The 23,818-nt window shown below is 43.0% G+C and overlaps 1 protein-coding gene across 8 annotated transcripts in view, besides 1 other annotated feature; it reads left to right on the forward strand.

The window, feature by feature from the left end:
* EGFR (epidermal growth factor receptor) overlaps window positions 1–17,635 on the forward strand; it is a 192,612-nt gene extending 174,977 nt beyond the window's left edge. For 6 of the 8 annotated variants that reach the window (NM_005228.5, NM_001346899.2, NM_001346941.2 and 3 more), the window contains 6 exons: window positions 4,724–4,870; window positions 6,323–6,420; window positions 7,195–7,362; window positions 7,742–7,789; window positions 8,524–8,632; window positions 11,263–17,635. In NM_005228.5, coding sequence (NP_005219.2) covers window positions 4,724–4,870; window positions 6,323–6,420; window positions 7,195–7,362; window positions 7,742–7,789; window positions 8,524–8,632; window positions 11,263–11,624 — 932 coding nt within the window. In that variant the 3' untranslated portion in view covers window positions 11,625–17,635. Of the gene's footprint in view, window positions 1–4,723; window positions 4,871–6,322; window positions 6,421–7,194; window positions 7,363–7,741; window positions 7,790–8,523; window positions 9,084–11,262 lie in introns of those variants that run through there. The other 2 variants (NM_001346898.2, NM_001346897.2) reach the window with 1 other exon arrangement.
* Window positions 20,241–20,741: an enhancer, noted in NCBI's record as "H3K4me1 hESC enhancer chr7:55281927-55282427 (GRCh37/hg19 assembly coordinates)". NCBI's record gives its function as "activates a minimal SCP1, AML or CMV promoter by ChIP-STARR-seq in naive H9 embryonic stem cells {active_cell/tissue: H9 hESC(naive)}" and the evidence as "EXISTENCE:reporter gene assay evidence [ECO:0000049][PMID:30033119]".

A 23,818-nucleotide genomic window follows, 5' to 3' on the forward strand; every position in this document is an offset into this window, starting at 1 on the left:
TGGAACAGATAAGGAAATAAAGGTCTGCTGATGCATTGTTATTTACAGCCATTTTCAGAATGTATCTCCTCTCCACGAGGGAACTGCAGGGTCCTGCCCCAAGCCATTTATTTTGTCCTCAAGCAGCCCGCCCCTCCCACTCCAGGCACAGCCCGGTCTCCTGCTGGTCTCCCCTCTTCCCACTTGCTCCCCCTCATCTATGCTCCAGACAGAGGCCACATATATTTTTTAACTTTTTTTTTTTTTTTTTTGAGACAGAGTCTTGCCCTGTCACCCAGGCTGGAGTGCAGTGGTGCAGTCTCGGCTCACTGCAACCTCCACCTCCCGGGTTCAAGTGATTCTCCTGCCTCAGCCTCCTGAGTAGCTGGGATTACAGGCGCACACCACCATGCCCAGCTAATTTTTTGTATCTCTAGTTGAGACAGGGTTTCACTATGTTGGCCAGGCTGGTCTCGAACTCCTGACCTCATGATCTGCCCGCCTCGGCCTCCCAAAGTGCATATTTTTTAACTTTATCAGACTTTTCATTCTCTGCTCAACATCTTTCTTTGGTCCTCCAGGTATGTTCAGATAAAACCTGAGCACCTGGCCATGACTGATGGGTTGCTGGGCCATCTGGCCCTGGCAACTCTCCCGTCCACCAGGTCCCCCTCCCGTCACGCTCCAGGCATAGCCTGTGTGTGCCAGCGCAATGCCCACACTCCATGCACAAGTGGAAGCCCTCTCAAAGTCAGTGGCTTAGTGCCTTGATGTGGTCACACCCATTCTCAGGAAGTCCGTTCCCACTGAAAACATTGTGTGTTTTCAACATCATTGAGGCTGCCACGGCAGATTATAATCACTGGCCTAGGCAGCCCACTGGAACTACCAGACCATGAGCCTGAATTTTTTGTTTAAAAATCATATCCTGTTTTCTCTACTCTCTAGTCTCTAGTCAAGGTGAATTATTCAATTTAATAAATTAGGGGCCTAGTGTGTTGTACCAAGGAGCTAAAAAGAGAGAACTCGCAACACCTTCCAGCCCATTCTCCACCTAACACTGGCTATACTGGCTCTCCTCTCTCTCGCTGTTTGTTCCAAAATCTAATAACCTGTCTTCCCACTAGAATTCATCATACATGTTTAAAAACCTAGTTAAATAGTAGTTAAACTGACTGCATAGATCTGGAAATGAGACAGTCTTTCTTTTACAAATCCATATAGACTATGAGTTGGGGGCAGGGGATGACACAAGAATCTATTTTCTTGCCCCCAAACCATTGCTTTCCTTCCAATGTTAAGCTTGTATTCTGTGTATTAATTCAGGTGGTTCCGTTTGGGAATGGCCTCTGTTACCCAGAGATGGGAGGGCCATCAGAACTCGGGGTTGTCTGAAAAAACACTGGTTCTAAAATTATCACTGCTTTCACTTGTTTTTAACCATCATAGTTGTTTGATTTTGAAGGAAAAACATGAGGGTTTTTATTCTATGCTTGTTATATCTATATTGTGGTTTCGTATTTTTTAGATTTTAGTACCTGACATTTTTTTAACTTTTATTTTAGGTTCAGGGGTACATGTGCAGGTTTGTTATATAGGTAAATTTGTGTCATGGGGGTTTGTTACACAGATTATTTTATCACCCAGGGATTAAGCCTAGTACCCATTAGTTATTTTTCCTGATCCTCTCCCTCCTCCCATCCTCCACCGTCCTATAGACCCCAGTGTGTGTTGTTCCCCTCTAAGTGTCCATGTGTTCTCATCATTTAGCTCCCACTTATAAGTAAGAACATGCGGTATTTGATTTTCTGTTCCTGCATTAGTTTGCTAGGGATGATGGCCTCTAGCTCCATCCATGTTCTTGCAAAGTACATGATCTCATTCTCTTTTGTGGCTGCCTAGTGTTCCATGGTGTATATGTACCACATTTTCTTTATCCAGTCTGTCATTGATGGGCATTTAGGTTGATTCCATGTCTTTGCTATTGTAAATAGTGCTGCAGTGAAAATACGCATGCATATGTCTTTATGGTAGAATGATTTATATTCCTTTGAGTAATGGGATTGCCGGGTCAAATGGTAGTTCTGTTTTTAGCTATCTGAGAAATTGCCACACTCTTTTCCACAATAATTGAACTAATTTACATTCCCACCAACAGTGTAAAAGCATTCCTTTTTCTCCACAACCTCACCAGCATGTGTTGGGATTTTTTTTTTTTTTTACTTTTCAATAATAGCCATCTGACTGGTATGAGATGGTATCTCAGTGTGGTTTTGATTTTTATTTCTTTAATGATCAGTGATGTTAAGCTCTTTTTCATATACTTGTTGGCTGCATGTATGTCTTCTTCTAAAAAGTGTCTGCTCATGTCCTTTGCCCACTTTTTAATGGGATTGTTTAATTTTTTCTTGTGAATTTACTTAAGTTCCTTATAGATGCTGGTTATTAGACCCTTCTCAGATTTGTAGCTTGCAAAAATGTTCACCCATTCTGTGGGTTGTCTTCACTCTGATGATAGTTTCTTTTGCTGTGCAGAAGATCTTCAGTTTAGTTAGATCCCATTTGTCAATTTTTGCTTTTGTTGCAATTGCTTGATGTGTTTTCATCATGAAATCTTAGCCCATTCCTATATCCAGAATGGTATTACCTAGGTTGTCTTCCAGGGTTTTTATAGTTTGGGGTTTTACATTTAAGTCTTTAATCCATGTTGAGTTTATTTTTGTGTATGGTGTAAGGAAGGAGTCCAGTTTCAATCTTCTTCATGGCTAGCTAGTCATCATTTATTGAGTAGGGAGTCCTTTATTCATTGCTTTTTTTTTTTTGTCAACTTTGTCAACGATCACATGGTTGTAGGTGTGCAGCCTTATTTCTGGGCTCTCTATTCTGTTTCATTGGTCTGTATGTCTGTTTCTGTACTAGTACCATGCTGTTTTGGTTACTGTATCCCTGTAGTTTAAAGTCAGGTAGCATCATGCTTCCAGCTTTGTTCTTTTTGCTTAGGATTGCCTTGGCAATTCAGGCTCTTTTTTGGTTCCATGTGAATTTTTAAATTGTATTTTCTAGTTCTGTGAAGAATCTCATTGGTAGTGTGATAGGAGTAACATTGAATCTATAAAATACTTTGGGCAGTATAGTCATTTTAATGATATTGATTCTTTCTATCCATGAGCATGGAATGTTTTTCCATTTGTTTGTGTCATCTCTGATTTCTTTAAGCAGTGTTTTGTGGTTCTTATTGTAGAGATCTTTCACTTTCCTGGTTTACTGTATTTCTAGGTATTTTATTCTTTTTGTGGCAATTGTGAATTGAATTGCATTCCTGATTTGGTTCTCAGCTTGACTGTTGTTGGCATATTGGAATGCTAATTATTTTTGTACATTGATTTTGTACAACTGAGTCTTCACTGAAGTTGTTTATCAGCTTAAGGGGTTTTGGGTCAAGACTATGGGGTTTTCTAGATATAGGATCATGTCATCTGCAAACAGAGATAGCTGTTTTCCTCTCTTCCTGTTTGGATGTCCATTATTTCTTTCTCTCACCTGATTTATCTGGCCAGGACTTCCAATACTATGTTAAATAGGAGTGTTGAGAGAGGGAATCCTTGTCTTGTGTCAATTTTCAAGGGGAATGTTTTCAACTTTTGCCCATTCAATATGATGTTGGCTGTGGGTTTGCCATAGATGGCTAATATGTTGAGGTTTGTTCTTTAAATACCTAGTTTATTGAGAATTTTAAACATGTTGAATTTTATTGAGAGCCTTTTCTGCATCTATTGAGATGATCATGTGGCTTTTGTCCTTAGTTCTGTTTGTGTGGTGAATCACATTTATTGATTTGCATATGTTGAACCAATCTTGCATCCCAGGGATGAAGCCGACTTGATTGTGGTGGCTTAAGCTTTTTGATGTGCTGCTGGATTCGATTTGCCAGTATTTTGTTGAGGATTTTTATGTCTATGTTCATCAGAGATATTGGCCTGAAGTTTTCTTTTTTTGTTGTATCTCTGCCAAGCTTTGGTATCAGGATGACATTGGCCTCATAGAATGAGTTAAGGAAGAGTCCCTCCTTCTCAATTTTTTTGGAATAGTTTCAGTAGGAATGGTACCAGCTTTTTTTGTACATCTTGTAGAATTTGGCTATGAATCCATCTAGTCTTAGGCTTTGTTTTGGTTGGTAGGCTATTTATTACTGATTCAATTTTGGAGCTCATTATTGGTCTGTTCAGGGATTCAGTTTCTTCCTGAGGTTTTTATTTTTATCAAATGGAACTTAAGCTTTTTCATTTCCAATTTTTTTATGATCTAAAAATGTGCAGTTTACAGCCCTGTTCAGAATCTGCATCTTCCTCATTCTGCAGATACAGGTCCCTCAGAGCAGGTGACTGAGTGTGTATCCTGTCTGGAGCATAATACTTATGCTAGTAGAGTTACTGTTGTCTTTATTGTTAATTACCAAAGTTTACCACTTATCAGTCACTTACTACTTGCTGGGCATTGCACTAAGCATTTCAGTTGTATTATCTTGTTGGGTCCTTACAGCAATCCTGTGAAACAGATACTGCTATTACCCCACTTTATAGAGAGGTAGACTGAGGCTTCCAGCATTGAAGCAAATTGCCCAAGACTACAGAAATGTAGGTTTCTAAACATCAAGAAACAGTAACCAGTAATGATGACTAAAGCAAGGGATTGTGATTGTTCATTCATGATCCCACTGCCTTCTTTTCTTGCTTCATCCTCTCAGGGGTGACTGTTTGGGAGTTGATGACCTTTGGATCCAAGCCATATGACGGAATCCCTGCCAGCGAGATCTCCTCCATCCTGGAGAAAGGAGAACGCCTCCCTCAGCCACCCATATGTACCATCGATGTCTACATGATCATGGTCAAGTGTGAGTGACTGGTGGGTCTGTCCACACTGCCTAGCTGAGCCTTGGTGGCTGCTCTTAGCCAAACAGCTGAGGCCTTTGCATCCCTGGAGAAATGTCATCACATTACTTAAGGCAGGCACACAAATCCAGAAACATCTGTAAATACCCCTTCAAGCATTCTTTTAAAGACACTTCTTGACTCATTGGGCAGTATGACCTGACATTTGCCCATGTTTGCAAGCAAATAAATAAAACTAAAGTCTTCCGCAAGCCATTACACCAAAATATTCTATTCGCTGAGTTACTCAATGAAATACCGAGTTGCCCTATATTTTGAAGCCTGTTACCAGAGAGACTGAATGTTTTTAAATGCATGGCAGTGAGTAACAACATAAGGCTAATAGAGTCAACATTTCTGCTTTGACTTAAACCTTTTAAACCAGTGGATTTATGTGAAGTCTCTGCAGTGTGGCATTTAAACATTTCAATCTAAATAAGAGTGTGTAATTTGATTGATGCTATTATTCTACCAGATTCACGAGTGCAGTGGGCTCTGGAGGTAGCATTACATGCATGGGATGAGCATTTGCAAAAGAAAGTTGTATAGGGAATATGACAGAGCCAAGTTAATGTAAATATTAATGCCTTTCTGAACTCTAGGCCACAGAGTTGATCTTTTTTAACTTCCTTGGTTTGGGCTAAGGAAGCTGTGATCCAGAGAAGCCACGTGATTTGTCTAAGGTCACATAGCAGTCTGGCCTAAAATAGCTTGATATGCTGTGGATGGAAAATAAATGTGATCCCTCAAGAGGCATGAGGATTTCCAGGCAGTAGCCATACCTCCAAATTGTTTAATCTGGATTTAGATTGTTGGGTAGTCACATGCAGCAGCACAGTTAACAGTGTGTCCTCCTGTGGAAGTTGCCAGCACAGCCAGCCCTCTCACTTGCATGCATGCCCACCAGCCTTCTCACTTGCATGCATGCCCACTGGGTATGTGCTGTACTGGAGACGCCGGGGGTAGGGGCCCAGTCCCAACCCCAAATTCTTTAAAGCCTATTTTTCTAAGTTGCATCTGGTTTCCTACCTGAAGGAATGCTAAGGGTGGATGTTGAGTGAGGACCTTGGTGCAGGGCACCCTGCAGTCAGGATAGTTCATGGAGAGCAATTGTACAGACCCACACTGCTCCATCCCCTCAGGCGTAACACAGGATGCTGACCCCAGGAAGAGTGGGCGTAGAAAAACTAGAGGGCATTATTGTTATTCTGATTCAAATGTACAGTGCTGGCATGGTCTTTAAACAGTAACCAGTACTAGCTGGCCAAGACAGAAAAGTCTACCACAAAGACTTGGTTCTTTCATCACTTATTTGACTGGAAGTGTCGCATCACCAATGCCTTCTTTAAGCAATGCCATCTTTATCATTTCTTCCAGTGTTCTAATTGCACTGTTTTTTCTCATTCCTTCCCCAGGCTGGATGATAGACGCAGATAGTCGCCCAAAGTTCCGTGAGTTGATCATCGAATTCTCCAAAATGGCCCGAGACCCCCAGCGCTACCTTGTCATTCAGGTACAAATTGCAGTCTGTGCTTCCATTGGGAAGAGTCCCTCTAATGAGCATCTCATGTCACTGTGTTCTGTCACATGCCAGCCTGGCCTCCCTGTGTCCCAGATCGCATTATTAAACCCTCCAGCGCATTAGAGCAAGCCTCAGTAAGGCGCAGGCCACATCGTGAACTAAGCAGCATCCGTGAGTGGGGCCCACCCAACTCCATCTCCCCCTCCCCGTCTGAACTCTCCTCTGGTGCTCGTCCTCACTGTCCGGCTAGCCAAAGCCTCAGCTGGGTCTAAGAGAGAAGCATGGTCTATTGGGCTTTGGTGTCAGGCAGACGTGGCTTCACACCCCTGACTCTCCACTTCTTCGCATCACCCAGGCAGCCGATCCACCTATCTCCTTCCATAACACAGGAATACCAAAACCAAGCTCACAGGATTGTCTCAAAGATTCAATAAAATATGTTGCAAAATACGCTCCCTAACACCTCACAGCAAGGTGCACACTCGATGAATGCTGCAGCTTCTTCCCTTTCTGTTTCCTCAGAAGCTATTTGAATCTCATGTAGGGGCTTTCAAGCATCAAAGGATGGTTCATGTTTTATTTTAAGGCACCCACATCATGTCATGAGGGGAGGCAGCTATAATTTAGAGAACCAAGGGGGATTTCATTATAACAAAATTGGCAAACACACAGGCACCTGCTGGCAATAGACCCCTGCTCCTATAGCCAAGAAGTGGAATAGCATCTCTACGGGCCATTCTAATAGCCTCAAAATCTCTGCACCAGGGGGATGAAAGAATGCATTTGCCAAGTCCTACAGACTCCAACTTCTACCGTGCCCTGATGGATGAAGAAGACATGGACGACGTGGTGGATGCCGACGAGTACCTCATCCCACAGCAGGGCTTCTTCAGCAGCCCCTCCACGTCACGGACTCCCCTCCTGAGCTCTCTGGTATGAAATCTCTGTCTCTCTCTCTCTCTCAAGCTGTGTCTACTCATTTGAACAAATTGAATTTTAGGGAAAATAACCATCTAGTGAAACTCACATGGATATGAAGTCAATTTTAACCAAATGGTAAAATCAAAATCAAAATAAATTAAGTGTATTAATTATTTTGTTGCATTGCAACAACTTGATTGTAAGCCTTTTAGGTCCACTATGGAATGTAATTAAATCAAAACTAAACCTAGTTGCTCTAAAACTAACGATTAAGACAAAAATTAAACACCTTCACAATATACCCTCCATGAGGCACACCACCTGCATTCAGGAAAAGTGGATGAGATGTGGTACAAGCATTCCATGGGCAACTTCTCTGTTTCTTTTTCAGAGTGCAACCAGCAACAATTCCACCGTGGCTTGCATTGATAGAAATGGGGTATGTATGAACACCTTATAAGCCAGAATTTACAGCTCTCCACTATGGCTCTATTTTACATGGAAAATGCCTTAACCTAAATAATTTTAACCCAGATAATCTTGAGTTTTCTTCCTGTGTGGGTTTTTCCCTGCACGGCTGTCACGCCTCACAGTGCCGTTCAAAGCGTGACTCCTGGACCAGTAGTAGCATCGCCTGGCCTTGTTAGAAACGCCATTTTTCAGGCCACTGCCCCAGTTTGACCAAATCAGGACCTCTGGGGGTGGCACCCAGTAGTCTATGTTTGAGCCACTTTCCAGGTGATGCTGATGTCTGTTGAAGTGTGAGGCCGTGGTCTAGACCGCACTGTGCCATGCAGAAACCACTAGCCACATGTGGCTACTTCAACTTAAATGTTAATGAGTTAAAATGAAATAAAATATAAAATTCAGTTTCTCACACATGTGAAGTGTCCAGTAGCCACACGTGGCTAGTGGTGACCGTATTGAAGAGCACCGCTCATAGCACACCTCCCTCACTGCGGAAAGTTCTGCTGTACAGCACCCAGCACAGCCCTGCTGCCCACCCTGCAGCCTGTGGCCCAGTAGCACCAGCACCCACCAGGGTGCAGACTCTCAGGCCTGCCCAACCTACTAATCAGAACCAGCATCTCAAGGAGATCTCGGGTGATTTTTGCAAACACTGAAGTTGGGGCAGCCCTGACCGGAGTAACCTTCCCTCATTTCCTCCTGCAGCTGCAAAGCTGTCCCATCAAGGAAGACAGCTTCTTGCAGCGATACAGCTCAGACCCCACAGGCGCCTTGACTGAGGACAGCATAGACGACACCTTCCTCCCAGTGCCTGGTGAGTGGCTTGTCTGGAAACAGTCCTGCTCCTCAACCTCCTCGACCCACTCAGCAGCAGCCAGTCTCCAGTGTCCAAGCCAGGTGCTCCCTCCAGCATCTCCAGAGGGGGAAACAGTGGCAGATTTGCAGACACAGTGAAGGGCGTAAGGAGCAGATAAACACATGACCGAGCCTGCACAAGCTCTTTGTTGTGTCTGGTTGTTTGCTGTACCTCTGTTGTAAGAATGAATCTGCAAAATTTCTAGCTTATGAAGCAAATCACGGACATACACATCTGTGTGTGTGAGTGTTCATGATGTGTGTACATCTGTGTATGTGTGTGTGTGTATGTGTGTGTTTGTGACAGATTTGATCCCTGTTCTCTCTGCTGGCTCTATCTTGACCTGTGAAACGTATATTTAACTAATTAAATATTAGTTAATATTAATAAATTTTAAGCTTTATCCAGATACTCATAACCTGCTAACACACACACATATACACACACATACACATACACACATATACACACACCACACACATACACAGACACCACACACATACCATACACAGACACATACACATGCACACACATATACACACACACCTCAAATACATACACACCACACACACATACATGTATACACACATACACACACCACACATACACCACAAAAACCCCACACACATACACATATACACACCACACACACCACATACACACACGTATACACACATATATACACACATACACCATGCATACATACACACCACACATACATACAGACACACCACACACACGTACACACAACACACAACACAGACACGTACACACACTACAGACATGTATGCACACATACACACACACCACACATACATACACACAGACACATATACACTACACACACCATTACATACACACGTACACATACACCACACACACCACACATACACACACCACACACACATACGCCACACACACACCACAAAAACCGCACACACATACAAACATATACACACTACACCACACATACACACACACACCACACACCACACACACACATACACACACCACACACACCACACATACACGCACCACACATACACACACGTAGACACACCACACACACCACAGAAACACACATTAACACACCACATACACATATGTATGTGCATATACACACCCACACCCCACACACACATGTATAAAGATTTAGATATATATAAAACATATGTTATATATATGTTGATGTAATATCTAATATCTATATATCTAATATGTAGTTTATTAGCTATCTAATATCTATGTCATATATATCAAAATCTTTATATATAAAAATATGTAGAAATCTTTATACATATGTTATATGTATATAAAGATTTAGATATATAACATATGTAAGTTATATATATGTTAGTGTAATATCTAATATATAGTTTATTGGCTATCTAATATAATATAAACAGATTATCAATATTATAAGCTATTAGAAAAATGCAAGTTAAGGCAGATGATATACCTCTTTACACACCAACTACACACACCAACTACACACACACATACACACAGACACACACGACACACACCATACACATGTACACACACACCACATATACACAAACGTACACACACACCACACACACATACACACCACACACACACCACACATACATACACATCCACACACCACACATGTACACACGCCACACACACACATACACACCACATACACATATGTATGCACACATACACACCAACACCACACAGACACCACACATGCATAAACATATAGACATATACACACCACACACCATATGTACACATGTACACACACACCACATATACACACAACACACACAAATACACACACCACACACACACCACAAAAACCCCACACACACACAAACATATACACCCCACACATACGCATATATACACACACACATACACACCACACACATACACACCACACACACACCACACATACACACACGTACACACACCACACACACACCACAGACACACACCACACATACATACACATACACACACCACACACACGTACACACACCACACACACCACAGACACACATAGACACACCACATACACACCCACACCACACACACACAACTCATACCACACATACATACACAATAGACACATACACACCACACACACCATACATACACACGTATACACACACCACATATACACACACGTACACACACACCACACACACCCACATGCACACACCACACACACATACAAATATACACCACACACACATACACCACACACACGGTGCACATACACACACATATACACACACCAGACACACATACCACATACACATCACACATATATGTATACATGCATACACATACACACACACATACACACACTCTCCTCAAGGCAGTTTATCCTCTGAGAACTTTAAATTTACAAAAGACACATATGTCCATTACTTTGAGAAGGACAGGAAAGAACCCACTTTCTTTTGCAGCAACAGCAAGAGGGCCCTCCCGAGGCTCCTGCTCCCTGTCATAAGTCTCCTTGTTGAGGACATTCACAGGGTTCAGAACCCAGGGATCCTGCATGGGATGGTGCTTTGCTGATTACTTCACCTCTGATTTCTTTCCACTTTCAGAATACATAAACCAGTCCGTTCCCAAAAGGCCCGCTGGCTCTGTGCAGAATCCTGTCTATCACAATCAGCCTCTGAACCCCGCGCCCAGCAGAGACCCACACTACCAGGACCCCCACAGCACTGCAGTGGGCAACCCCGAGTATCTCAACACTGTCCAGCCCACCTGTGTCAACAGCACATTCGACAGCCCTGCCCACTGGGCCCAGAAAGGCAGCCACCAAATTAGCCTGGACAACCCTGACTACCAGCAGGACTTCTTTCCCAAGGAAGCCAAGCCAAATGGCATCTTTAAGGGCTCCACAGCTGAAAATGCAGAATACCTAAGGGTCGCGCCACAAAGCAGTGAATTTATTGGAGCATGACCACGGAGGATAGTATGAGCCCTAAAAATCCAGACTCTTTCGATACCCAGGACCAAGCCACAGCAGGTCCTCCATCCCAACAGCCATGCCCGCATTAGCTCTTAGACCCACAGACTGGTTTTGCAACGTTTACACCGACTAGCCAGGAAGTACTTCCACCTCGGGCACATTTTGGGAAGTTGCATTCCTTTGTCTTCAAACTGTGAAGCATTTACAGAAACGCATCCAGCAAGAATATTGTCCCTTTGAGCAGAAATTTATCTTTCAAAGAGGTATATTTGAAAAAAAAAAAAAGTATATGTGAGGATTTTTATTGATTGGGGATCTTGGAGTTTTTCATTGTCGCTATTGATTTTTACTTCAATGGGCTCTTCCAACAAGGAAGAAGCTTGCTGGTAGCACTTGCTACCCTGAGTTCATCCAGGCCCAACTGTGAGCAAGGAGCACAAGCCACAAGTCTTCCAGAGGATGCTTGATTCCAGTGGTTCTGCTTCAAGGCTTCCACTGCAAAACACTAAAGATCCAAGAAGGCCTTCATGGCCCCAGCAGGCCGGATCGGTACTGTATCAAGTCATGGCAGGTACAGTAGGATAAGCCACTCTGTCCCTTCCTGGGCAAAGAAGAAACGGAGGGGATGGAATTCTTCCTTAGACTTACTTTTGTAAAAATGTCCCCACGGTACTTACTCCCCACTGATGGACCAGTGGTTTCCAGTCATGAGCGTTAGACTGACTTGTTTGTCTTCCATTCCATTGTTTTGAAACTCAGTATGCTGCCCCTGTCTTGCTGTCATGAAATCAGCAAGAGAGGATGACACATCAAATAATAACTCGGATTCCAGCCCACATTGGATTCATCAGCATTTGGACCAATAGCCCACAGCTGAGAATGTGGAATACCTAAGGATAGCACCGCTTTTGTTCTCGCAAAAACGTATCTCCTAATTTGAGGCTCAGATGAAATGCATCAGGTCCTTTGGGGCATAGATCAGAAGACTACAAAAATGAAGCTGCTCTGAAATCTCCTTTAGCCATCACCCCAACCCCCCAAAATTAGTTTGTGTTACTTATGGAAGATAGTTTTCTCCTTTTACTTCACTTCAAAAGCTTTTTACTCAAAGAGTATATGTTCCCTCCAGGTCAGCTGCCCCCAAACCCCCTCCTTACGCTTTGTCACACAAAAAGTGTCTCTGCCTTGAGTCATCTATTCAAGCACTTACAGCTCTGGCCACAACAGGGCATTTTACAGGTGCGAATGACAGTAGCATTATGAGTAGTGTGGAATTCAGGTAGTAAATATGAAACTAGGGTTTGAAATTGATAATGCTTTCACAACATTTGCAGATGTTTTAGAAGGAAAAAAGTTCCTTCCTAAAATAATTTCTCTACAATTGGAAGATTGGAAGATTCAGCTAGTTAGGAGCCCACCTTTTTTCCTAATCTGTGTGTGCCCTGTAACCTGACTGGTTAACAGCAGTCCTTTGTAAACAGTGTTTTAAACTCTCCTAGTCAATATCCACCCCATCCAATTTATCAAGGAAGAAATGGTTCAGAAAATATTTTCAGCCTACAGTTATGTTCAGTCACACACACATACAAAATGTTCCTTTTGCTTTTAAAGTAATTTTTGACTCCCAGATCAGTCAGAGCCCCTACAGCATTGTTAAGAAAGTATTTGATTTTTGTCTCAATGAAAATAAAACTATATTCATTTCCACTCTATTATGCTCTCAAATACCCCTAAGCATCTATACTAGCCTGGTATGGGTATGAAAGATACAAAGATAAATAAAACATAGTCCCTGATTCTAAGAAATTCACAATTTAGCAAAGGAAATGGACTCATAGATGCTAACCTTAAAACAACGTGACAAATGCCAGACAGGACCCATCAGCCAGGCACTGTGAGAGCACAGAGCAGGGAGGTTGGGTCCTGCCTGAGGAGACCTGGAAGGGAGGCCTCACAGGAGGATGACCAGGTCTCAGTCAGCGGGGAGGTGGAAAGTGCAGGTGCATCAGGGGCACCCTGACCGAGGAAACAGCTGCCAGAGGCCTCCACTGCTAAAGTCCACATAAGGCTGAGGTCAGTCACCCTAAACAACCTGCTCCCTCTAAGCCAGGGGATGAGCTTGGAGCATCCCACAAGTTCCCTAAAAGTTGCAGCCCCCAGGGGGATTTTGAGCTATCATCTCTGCACATGCTTAGTGAGAAGACTACACAACATTTCTAAGAATCTGAGATTTTATATTGTCAGTTAACCACTTTCATTATTCATTCACCTCAGGACATGCAGAAATATTTCAGTCAGAACTGGGAAACAGAAGGACCTACATTCTGCTGTCACTTATGTGTCAAGAAGCAGATGATCGATGAGGCAGGTCAGTTGTAAGTGAGTCACATTGTAGCATTAAATTCTAGTATTTTTGTAGTTTGAAACAGTAACTTAATAAAAGAGCAAAAGCTATTCTAGCTTTCTTCTTCATATTTTAATTTTCCACCATAAAGTTTAGTTGCTAAATTCTATTAATTTTAAGATTGTGCTTCCCAAAATAGTTCTCACTTCATCTGTCCAGGGAGGCACAGTTCTGTCTGGTAGAAGCCGCAAAGCCCTTAGCCTCTTCACGGATCTGGCGACTGTGATGGGCAGGTCAGGAGAGGAGCTGCCCAAAGTCCCATGATTTTCACCTAACAGCCCTGATCAGTCAGTACTCAAAGCTTGGACTCCATCCCTGAAGGTCTTCCTGATTGATAGCCTGGCCTTAATACCCTACAGAAAGCCTGTCCATTGGCTGTTTCTTCCTCAGTCAGTTCCTGGAAGACCTTACCCCATGACCCCAGCTTCAGATGTGGTCTTTGGAAACAGAGGTCGAAGGAAAGTAAGGAGCTGAGAGCTCACATTCATAGGTGCCGCCAGCCTTCGTGCATCTTCTTGCATCATCTCTAAGGAGCTCCTCTAATTACACCATGCCCGTCACCCCATGAGGGATCAGAGAAGGGATGAGTCTTCTAAACTCTATATTCGCTGTGAGTCCAGGTTGTAAGGGGGAGCACTGTGGATGCATCCTATTGCACTCCAGCTGATGACACCAAAGCTTAGGTGTTTGCTGAAAGTTCTTGATGTTGTGACTTACCACCCCTGCCTCACAACTGCAGACATAAGGGGACTATGGATTGCTTAGCAGGAAAGGCACTGGTTCTCAAGGGCGGCTGCCCTTGGGAATCTTCTGGTCCCAACCAGAAAGACTGTGGCTTGATTTTCTCAGGTGCAGCCCAGCCGTAGGGCCTTTTCAGAGCACCCCCTGGTTATTGCAACATTCATCAAAGTTTCTAGAACCTCTGGCCTAAAGGAAGGGCCTGGTGGGATCTACTTGGCACTCGCTGGGGGGCCACCCCCCAGTGCCACTCTCACTAGGCCTCTGATTGCACTTGTGTAGGATGAAGCTGGTGGGTGATGGGAACTCAGCACCTCCCCTCAGGCAGAAAAGAATCATCTGTGGAGCTTCAAAAGAAGGGGCCTGGAGTCTCTGCAGACCAATTCAACCCAAATCTCGGGGGCTCTTTCATGATTCTAATGGGCAACCAGGGTTGAAACCCTTATTTCTAGGGTCTTCAGTTGTACAAGACTGTGGGTCTGTACCAGAGCCCCCGTCAGAGTAGAATAAAAGGCTGGGTAGGGTAGAGATTCCCATGTGCAGTGGAGAGAACAATCTGCAGTCACTGATAAGCCTGAGACTTGGCTCATTTCAAAAGCGTTCAATTCATCCTCACCAGCAGTTCAGCTGGAAAGGGGCAAATACCCCCACCTGAGCTTTGAAAACGCCCTGGGACCCTCTGCATTCTCTAAGTAAGTTATAGAAACCAGTCTCTTCCCTCCTTTGTGAGTGAGCTGCTATTCCACGTAGGCAACACCTGTTGAAATTGCCCTCAATGTCTACTCTGCATTTCTTTCTTGTGATAAGCACACACTTTTATTGCAACATAATGATCTGCTCACATTTCCTTGCCTGGGGGCTGTAAAACCTTACAGAACAGAAATCCTTGCCTCTTTCACCAGCCACACCTGCCATACCAGGGGTACAGCTTTGTACTATTGAAGACACAGACAGGATTTTTAAATGTAAATCTATTTTTGTAACTTTGTTGCGGGATATAGTTCTCTTTATGTAGCACTGAACTTTGTACAATATATTTTTAGAAACTCATTTTTCTACTAAAACAAACACAGTTTACTTTAGAGAGACTGCAATAGAATCAAAATTTGAAACTGAAATCTTTGTTTAAAAGGGTTAAGTTGAGGCAAGAGGAAAGCCCTTTCTCTCTCTTATAAAAAGGCACAACCTCATTGGGGAGCTAAGCTAGGTCATTGTCATGGTGAAGAAGAGAAGCATCGTTTTTATATTTAGGAAATTTTAAAAGATGATGGAAAGCACATTTAGCTTGGTCTGAGGCAGGTTCTGTTGGGGCAGTGTTAATGGAAAGGGCTCACTGTTGTTACTACTAGAAAAATCCAGTTGCATGCCATACTCTCATCATCTGCCAGTGTAACCCTGTACATGTAAGAAAAGCAATAACATAGCACTTTGTTGGTTTATATATATAATGTGACTTCAATGCAAATTTTATTTTTATATTTACAATTGATATGCATTTACCAGTATAAACTAGACATGTCTGGAGAGCCTAATAATGTTCAGCACACTTTGGTTAGTTCACCAACAGTCTTACCAAGCCTGGGCCCAGCCACCCTAGAGAAGTTATTCAGCCCTGGCTGCAGTGACATCACCTGAGGAGCTTTTAAAAGCTTGAAGCCCAGCTACACCTCAGACCGATTAAACGCAAATCTCTGGGGCTGAAACCCAAGCATTCGTAGTTTTTAAAGCTCCTGAGGTCATTCCAATGTGCGGCCAAAGTTGAGAACTACTGGCCTAGGGATTAGCCACAAGGACATGGACTTGGAGGCAAATTCTGCAGGTGTATGTGATTCTCAGGCCTAGAGAGCTAAGACACAAAGACCTCCACATCTGTCGCTGAGAGTCAAGAACCTGAACAGAGTTTCCATGAAGGTTCTCCAAGCACTAGAAGGGAGAGTGTCTAAACAATGGTTGAAAAGCAAAGGAAATATAAAACAGACACCTCTTTCCATTTCCTAAGGTTTCTCTCTTTATTAAGGGTGGACTAGTAATAAAATATAATATTCTTGCTGCTTATGCAGCTGACATTGTTGCCCTCCCTAAAGCAACCAAGTAGCCTTTATTTCCCACAGTGAAAGAAAACGCTGGCCTATCAGTTACATTACAAAAGGCAGATTTCAAGAGGATTGAGTAAGTAGTTGGATGGCTTTCATAAAAACAAGAATTCAAGAAGAGGATTCATGCTTTAAGAAACATTTGTTATACATTCCTCACAAATTATACCTGGGATAAAAACTATGTAGCAGGCAGTGTGTTTTCCTTCCATGTCTCTCTGCACTACCTGCAGTGTGTCCTCTGAGGCTGCAAGTCTGTCCTATCTGAATTCCCAGCAGAAGCACTAAGAAGCTCCACCCTATCACCTAGCAGATAAAACTATGGGGAAAACTTAAATCTGTGCATACATTTCTGGATGCATTTACTTATCTTTAAAAAAAAAGGAATCCTATGACCTGATTTGGCCACAAAAATAATCTTGCTGTACAATACAATCTCTTGGAAATTAAGAGATCCTATGGATTTGATGACTGGTATTAGAGGTGACAATGTAACCGATTAACAACAGACAGCAATAACTTCGTTTTAGAAACATTCAAGCAATAGCTTTATAGCTTCAACATATGGTACGTTTTAACCTTGAAAGTTTTGCAATGATGAAAGCAGTATTTGTACAAATGAAAAGCAGAATTCTCTTTTATATGGTTTATACTGTTGATCAGAAATGTTGATTGTGCATTGAGTATTAAAAAATTAGATGTATATTATTCATTGTTCTTTACTCCTGAGTACCTTATAATAATAATAATGTATTCTTTGTTAACAATGCCATGTTGGTACTAGTTATTAATCATATCTAACCAACTGTAGGTGTTCTTTCCTGATAACTTTTTTAAAAAATCAATAAATTATTTTTAGAGCAGTTTTAGGTTCACAGCAAAACTAAGCAGAAAGTTCAGAGAGCCCCCCCTGTCGCTAACCAGCCTCTCCCACCATCACCATCGCACCTCAGGAACCAGAGAACTTTTTAATGGAAAAAAAATCCAAGCCAGCTCGGAGGCTTCCTCCTGTGTCTGGGCCAGCCCCTCGGGCTCTCAGATGCATTCCAACTCAAGCTCTTCACATGCCAGAGCCTTCCAGTGCCCTTGAGACCCCTCATTCCAAAGATCTCTTCATAGTTTTTCTCCTTCACAGAGCCAAGAGGGAATTCCCTGATGGAACAGATTTTTCTATGGCAAGCCCAGGTTTTATTTCTTCAGAGTACCAAAATAATTAGAAGTTTGCCCTGATTCTGCTAAAAATCAGAGGAATTAAGTGGGTCCCAGCATGGGCAAGGGGCCTCCCATTCAGCTGCCCCACTCACCGCCAACCTCTCTTACATGTGGGTGGTCCCACCCTCCACCCAGAACTTTCATGGCAGGAGCTCTCACTGCCGTGTTTAATGTAATGAAGCCACTACCTGCACATCGGGAATAGCCACGGTGTGGCAGGGGAGGGTTCTAGGGAGTCCGAGCTCAGACTGCAGTCAGGCTTCCTTACCACAGGAGCATGTTCTGAGAAATGCATCATTAGGAGATGTCATCACCGTGCGAGCATCACAGAGTGTACTTCACACATCTAGATGGCACAGCCCAGCACAAGCCTAAGTGATACGGCGTAGTCTGTTGTTCCTAGGCTAATGATCTGTACAGCCTGGGACTGTACTGAATACTGCAGGCAACTGCAGTACAATGGTAAGGATCTGTGTATATAAACATAGCTAAATGTTAAAAAGACACAGTGAAAACGTGGTATTATAATCATATGGGACCATGTGAACATCGTTATGTGGCACATTATAGAAAACCCAGGTTCTGTGTCTAAACGCTTAAACAGATAAATGAGTACAGATAGTTTTCTCAGTTCTAGCTGTAAAAGTAGAGTTAGGGGATTTGAACTCAACACCTGAGAAAAAGCAAACCTGTTGATGAAGCAGATGATGCTACCAAAGAGGAGAGAACAGCTTCCCAAAACCCAGCATCAAGGGCCGAGCAGCCAGGAGGCTGGGTGGGGATGCACAGGGCGAGGAGGGCAGGCAGGGTGCCTCCTGCAGGCATCAGAGAGTGGACCAGCACCAGACGCAGCTCCTCTCTCCTGATGGGATGGCCCTGGGGCTCCTGGTGGCTCTGACTTCTGTAAAGCGTCTCCCTCCGGCGCCTTTCCCTCCACCAGCCGGTGGCTGCACAGTGCCCTGCCTTGTTTCTTTCACACAGAAGTGAGGGCAGGAAGCAGGCTGTGCCAGCTCACACCACCCCTAATGCTCGCAGCGCTGACTCTAATTGTTTCCAGGAAGATCGCAGCTTTGCTTTTGTGCTGTTCCTGGTGAATGCCATCCGTTGTCTATGCACAAACATGGGGCTGAGAGTAAACCACATTTCCTTGTGGAAGCAGGACTTCAGGATAGCCAGGTCCACGAACAATGAGAAAATCCGGAGCTTCCCAGCATTCTGCTCAAGGCCCAGCATCCCATATCGGAACCCGCCGCACCCACTGCTCTCTCAGCTCCTGAGCCTCCACACCCTGGCTGCCTGGGAACACCTCAGGCACATGCAGGTTTAATATAATCAAAGCCTTCAATTAGGGGGTTTAGTCCATATGGAGGAAGTCCAGATTCTGCAGATGAGACAAGCATGGGGAGCATTCTGAGGTGCTGGCTTTCTGAGCCTGAAATGTTCCCCCAAGTGGAGGCCACGGCCGGCCATCCCACTGAACAGCCTTCACCTCAGGGCAGACTCAGTGGCACCACTGATTTGTCACTGACCGTCACGATTCCAGCTGAAGCTGGGTGCAGATGGGGTTTCAGCTGGAAGAGGTTTTCCCTTTGGGCCAGTAATCCTATAAAAGTCATCATACCTGTCTGGGGAGATGGGCGATTTCCCTAGAATGGAGAGTCCAACGTGCAGGAGGGAGCTGCTCTTCCTGTCGGGCCTTGGGTGCACCCCTCATAGGGCTCAGGTCCCACTGCTCCAGAAAGGACCTTTAAACACTCAGGTCGAGAAGCAGCAAGATCACATTTGGTATTTGCCCTAGTCTTAAAAACAATAAACAAAGCATGATAGGGAGCCCATGGGCAGATGTCTGCAATTTATAAATGTGTGCCCTGAAGCACCCTCACCCTTCTGTGCTCATCACCTCTGAGCCCCGGGGACATGCACCCCGGGGAGGCCAGCCCTGCCCTCACTGCCTTCTGTGGCCTCTGCCTTCCATCTTTCTCTCTACATGGACGCAGGGCTAGGAAACCTAGAGACTGGGTTCTAAAAGAAATAGAAACCTCTTTTTTACCCTGCTCCTGAGAGTCAACCCTTCTGAGCTCAAGCAAAGGGCATTCCCGGTCCTCAGCTCCTTGCCCCCACATAGATCTGAAGTGAGCCTGTACCGCCCACCTCTCAGTTCTCAACTGTCGCTTAATCCTGCCCCACAATAGGCCACCCCTGGGCTACAACTTGAGCTTCTAGGTGTGCACACTGAAGGCTCTGAACAGGCTCACAGCCCGGGGACACTCGGCAAGGACTCCCCACATTCCCAGCACCTGAGCGAGGCCCAGAAAAGAGAGGGGCAGGCACCAGATTGGCAGCTTTGTATCCTTTCTGCCCACCCCCAGGGAAAGGGTGTAGCCCATATATGGGGAAGGGGGGCTGGGGAGGCCAGGGGCTCTGCAAGCCAGGGTCCACGTCACTTAGGACTGAAGGCGGCACTGCCCAGGCAAATGGCACCTGAAAACCCAACAGGAACCTGGAGGCCCAAAGCCTCCAGGCGCCTAAAAACCCATTCACTTTTCTAAACTGCATAGTCCCTTATTTGAACCAGTAATGTCCTTAAAACCTCCAGTGCAGCTCTATCTCGGAGGGAGTGGAGGTGGGACCTGGGAAAGCCATCCCTCTCTCACTCCAGATGGCTTGGGGCCACCCCTTACTGACTATTTTCATTCTAAAGAGGTTGCTTCTGTCACCCTTTCAGCTTCTCCAGACCCCTCTCCTTCCATCTTTCTCTCTTGTATAATCTAACCTTTCCTGAACCCAAGCAGAAATGCAGTGACAAACCCACAAGATATTCAAGTGCTGGCACGCTTCTCTCTGCACTTGCACTTTGCCTGGGCTGACTGGCTTCTCAAGGGCAAGTCTAAGGGAACACTGGCCAGTGCCACATACAGACTTTAGGGGTCAGGGACAAAGAGATGTGATGTGTGATCTACAGCGTTTCTCCTGTAGATCAATGACACAGAAGACGCCGGAAGGGCAGGCCCCATTGCTGAAACGTTTGCCAGGTCCAAATGGTTTTGGAGCACACTTGCAAACTTTCAAAGAACAGCTAATTTTTGTATTAAAGTGTTTCAGAGCACAAAAAGATGGGAAGTTTCTCAGTTTATTCTACAAGGTCCGAATAGCACTAAAAATCAGAGAGATACTAGAAAAAGAAAACTATAGCTTTATTCATGAATGTAGATGTAGAAATCCTAAATGAAATGTAGGAAATGGAATTATTTATTCTAGGAATTAAAAGATAGCTCATTTTGTTTATACACGTGAGGAAAATAATAGGTGAAATGTTAATATTAACTCATGTTCATAAGGCATCAATAACGCCCAATCACATTGCTGTTAAAATCTCTTAGTCACTTGGGAATAGAGGACAACATGTTTAATTGGATTAAAGTATCTGTCAAAAATTAATAAGAAACATCAAACATAAAAGTGAAATACCAAGAACCTAGCACCTTAAATCAGAACAAGACAAGGATAACTATTATCACATCTATTATTCAACACTCCAGAAATCCAGTGTTTTGGGGGACAAGAGAAGACATATTACTTAAATATGATATATTTGCATCATTAGAATATAGTCAGAAAACCAAATCTAGTCAGCAGCCTATTTCTATGAGGTTTTATTAGGACACAGCCATGCCTACTTATTTATGTATTGTCTGTTATGACTGCTTTTATACTACAGTGGCAAGTTGGGTAGTTGGAACTGAGATCCTTTGACCTGCAAAGCCAAAAATATTCCCTGTCTGACTTTTTACAGCAAAAGTTTGCCTCTCCCAAAATAATTAACTGAAAACAAAATTAAACAAGAAAATCAGTAGGGTAAGCACATAGAAATATAATCAGTAGTTTTTCTACATACCATCCATCATTAATTAGACAACATAATGGAAAAGAATTCCATTTAAAATAGCAACTAAAACAACAAAATATCTAGAATTAAACTTAAATGTGTGAGAATAATATGAAAACAAAAACTAAGAATCCTTTCTGAGGCATAAAAGGAGACTCAAAAAGATATATTACATTCATGGACATGAAGACGATGTTATAAAGATACCAATTATCCCTAAATATAACATACATTCAATGCAATTCAAATGAAAATTTCAGTGGTTATTTTGGGGAGTATAAGCTTTAGAATTTGGAATCTAGAATAGAAAATGTACCACAGTAGCCAACAACATTTGGAAAACAATTGAGTAGTGAAGGAATGATACAAAAATATACTATATAAAAATAATAACTAAATCAGCACAGTAATTAACGGAAACATAGTTTGGAAGCAGATACGTGTGCATAGGAATGTGTCCATGATAAAGAGGACATCTCCAGATGGGGGACATGACAGACTACCCAGCAAATGATTTTGGAGAAAACGCCTATACATTTGAAAATTAATTATGGTTCTATTTCACACTCTACCCAAAGACAAATTTCAGATGGACCGAAGATCTAAACATAACAGCCAAAACAAAGTATTGGGTAAAATCTATGTGAATATTTTTGAATCTCAGGAAGAGGAGGTGATCCTAGTGCATAGCACAAAACCCCAAAGGCATAAAGAAAAAGATGGACAAGAAGGAAATCCAATGTTTTTCAGTTTTTAAAGGAAAAATAACTAACCACTGAAGAAAAGCCAATATATATACAGGGAGAAAAACTTTAAGATATATCAACAATTAATACCCTAAAATGTGAAGTATTCCAATGAATTTGTAAAAAAATTAAACACTCTATTAAAACTTTAACAGTGTATCAATGGACAATTTATGGAAAAAATACAAACGGCAAATAGCACTAATAAGTATATAGCCTACCTCACTAACAATGAAAGAAATGCCACTTAAAACAGAATGATAACCTTTCACCCACATTTTGGTGGGAATGTGAATTACTATAAACTTTTTGAAGGGCAAACAAAATTTTACATTTGTGTATCCTCTTGATATGGCAACTTCACTTGTAAAGATAAATTCTGTTAACATATTCAACTATAGAAAGATATATAAATTAGAATGTTCACTAAACCACAGTTTGTAATGGAGAAAAAAATGGAAACTTTTAATGTCCATCGAAAGGGAAACTATCCCATAAGTCATGGAACATCATAATATAGAAGTCTGTGCAGTTGATAGAGCAATAAATCTGGCCAGGTGCAGTGGTTCATACCTGTATTCCCAGCACTTTGGGAGGCCGAGGCAGGCAGATCACTTGAGGTCAGGAGTTCAAGACCAGCCTGGTCAACATGGTGAAACCCCATCTCTACTAAAAATACAAAAATTAGCCAGGCGTGGTGGCGGGCGCCTGTAATCCCAGCTACTTGGGAGGCTGAGGCAGGAGAATCGCTTGAACCTGGGAGACGGAGGTTGCAGTGAACCGAGATCATGCCATTGTACTCCATCCTGGGCGACAGAGCGAGACTCCATCTCAAAAATAATAATAATAATAATAAATCCATCTGCAATAGCATGGAGGTATATCTGAGAGAGAGAGAGAGTTTTAAATGAAGCAAAACAAGTTACTGAATAATAGTTTTGTTTTGAAAAAAAGCTTCTATTTGTGTATATGTCTGTGTGTGTGTGTGTGTGTGTGTGTGTGTGTACAATCTGAAAACCTCTTGGAAATATTAATGTCAATTAACTAATGGTGGAGACCTCTAGTGAGTAAGGAGTAGAATGTGAAATGATGAAATGACAAAGAGG

This window comes from Homo sapiens, chromosome 7 (genome assembly GCF_000001405.40).
Source record: "Homo sapiens chromosome 7, GRCh38.p14 Primary Assembly".
NCBI classification, from domain to species: Eukaryota; Metazoa; Chordata; class Mammalia; order Primates; family Hominidae; genus Homo; species Homo sapiens.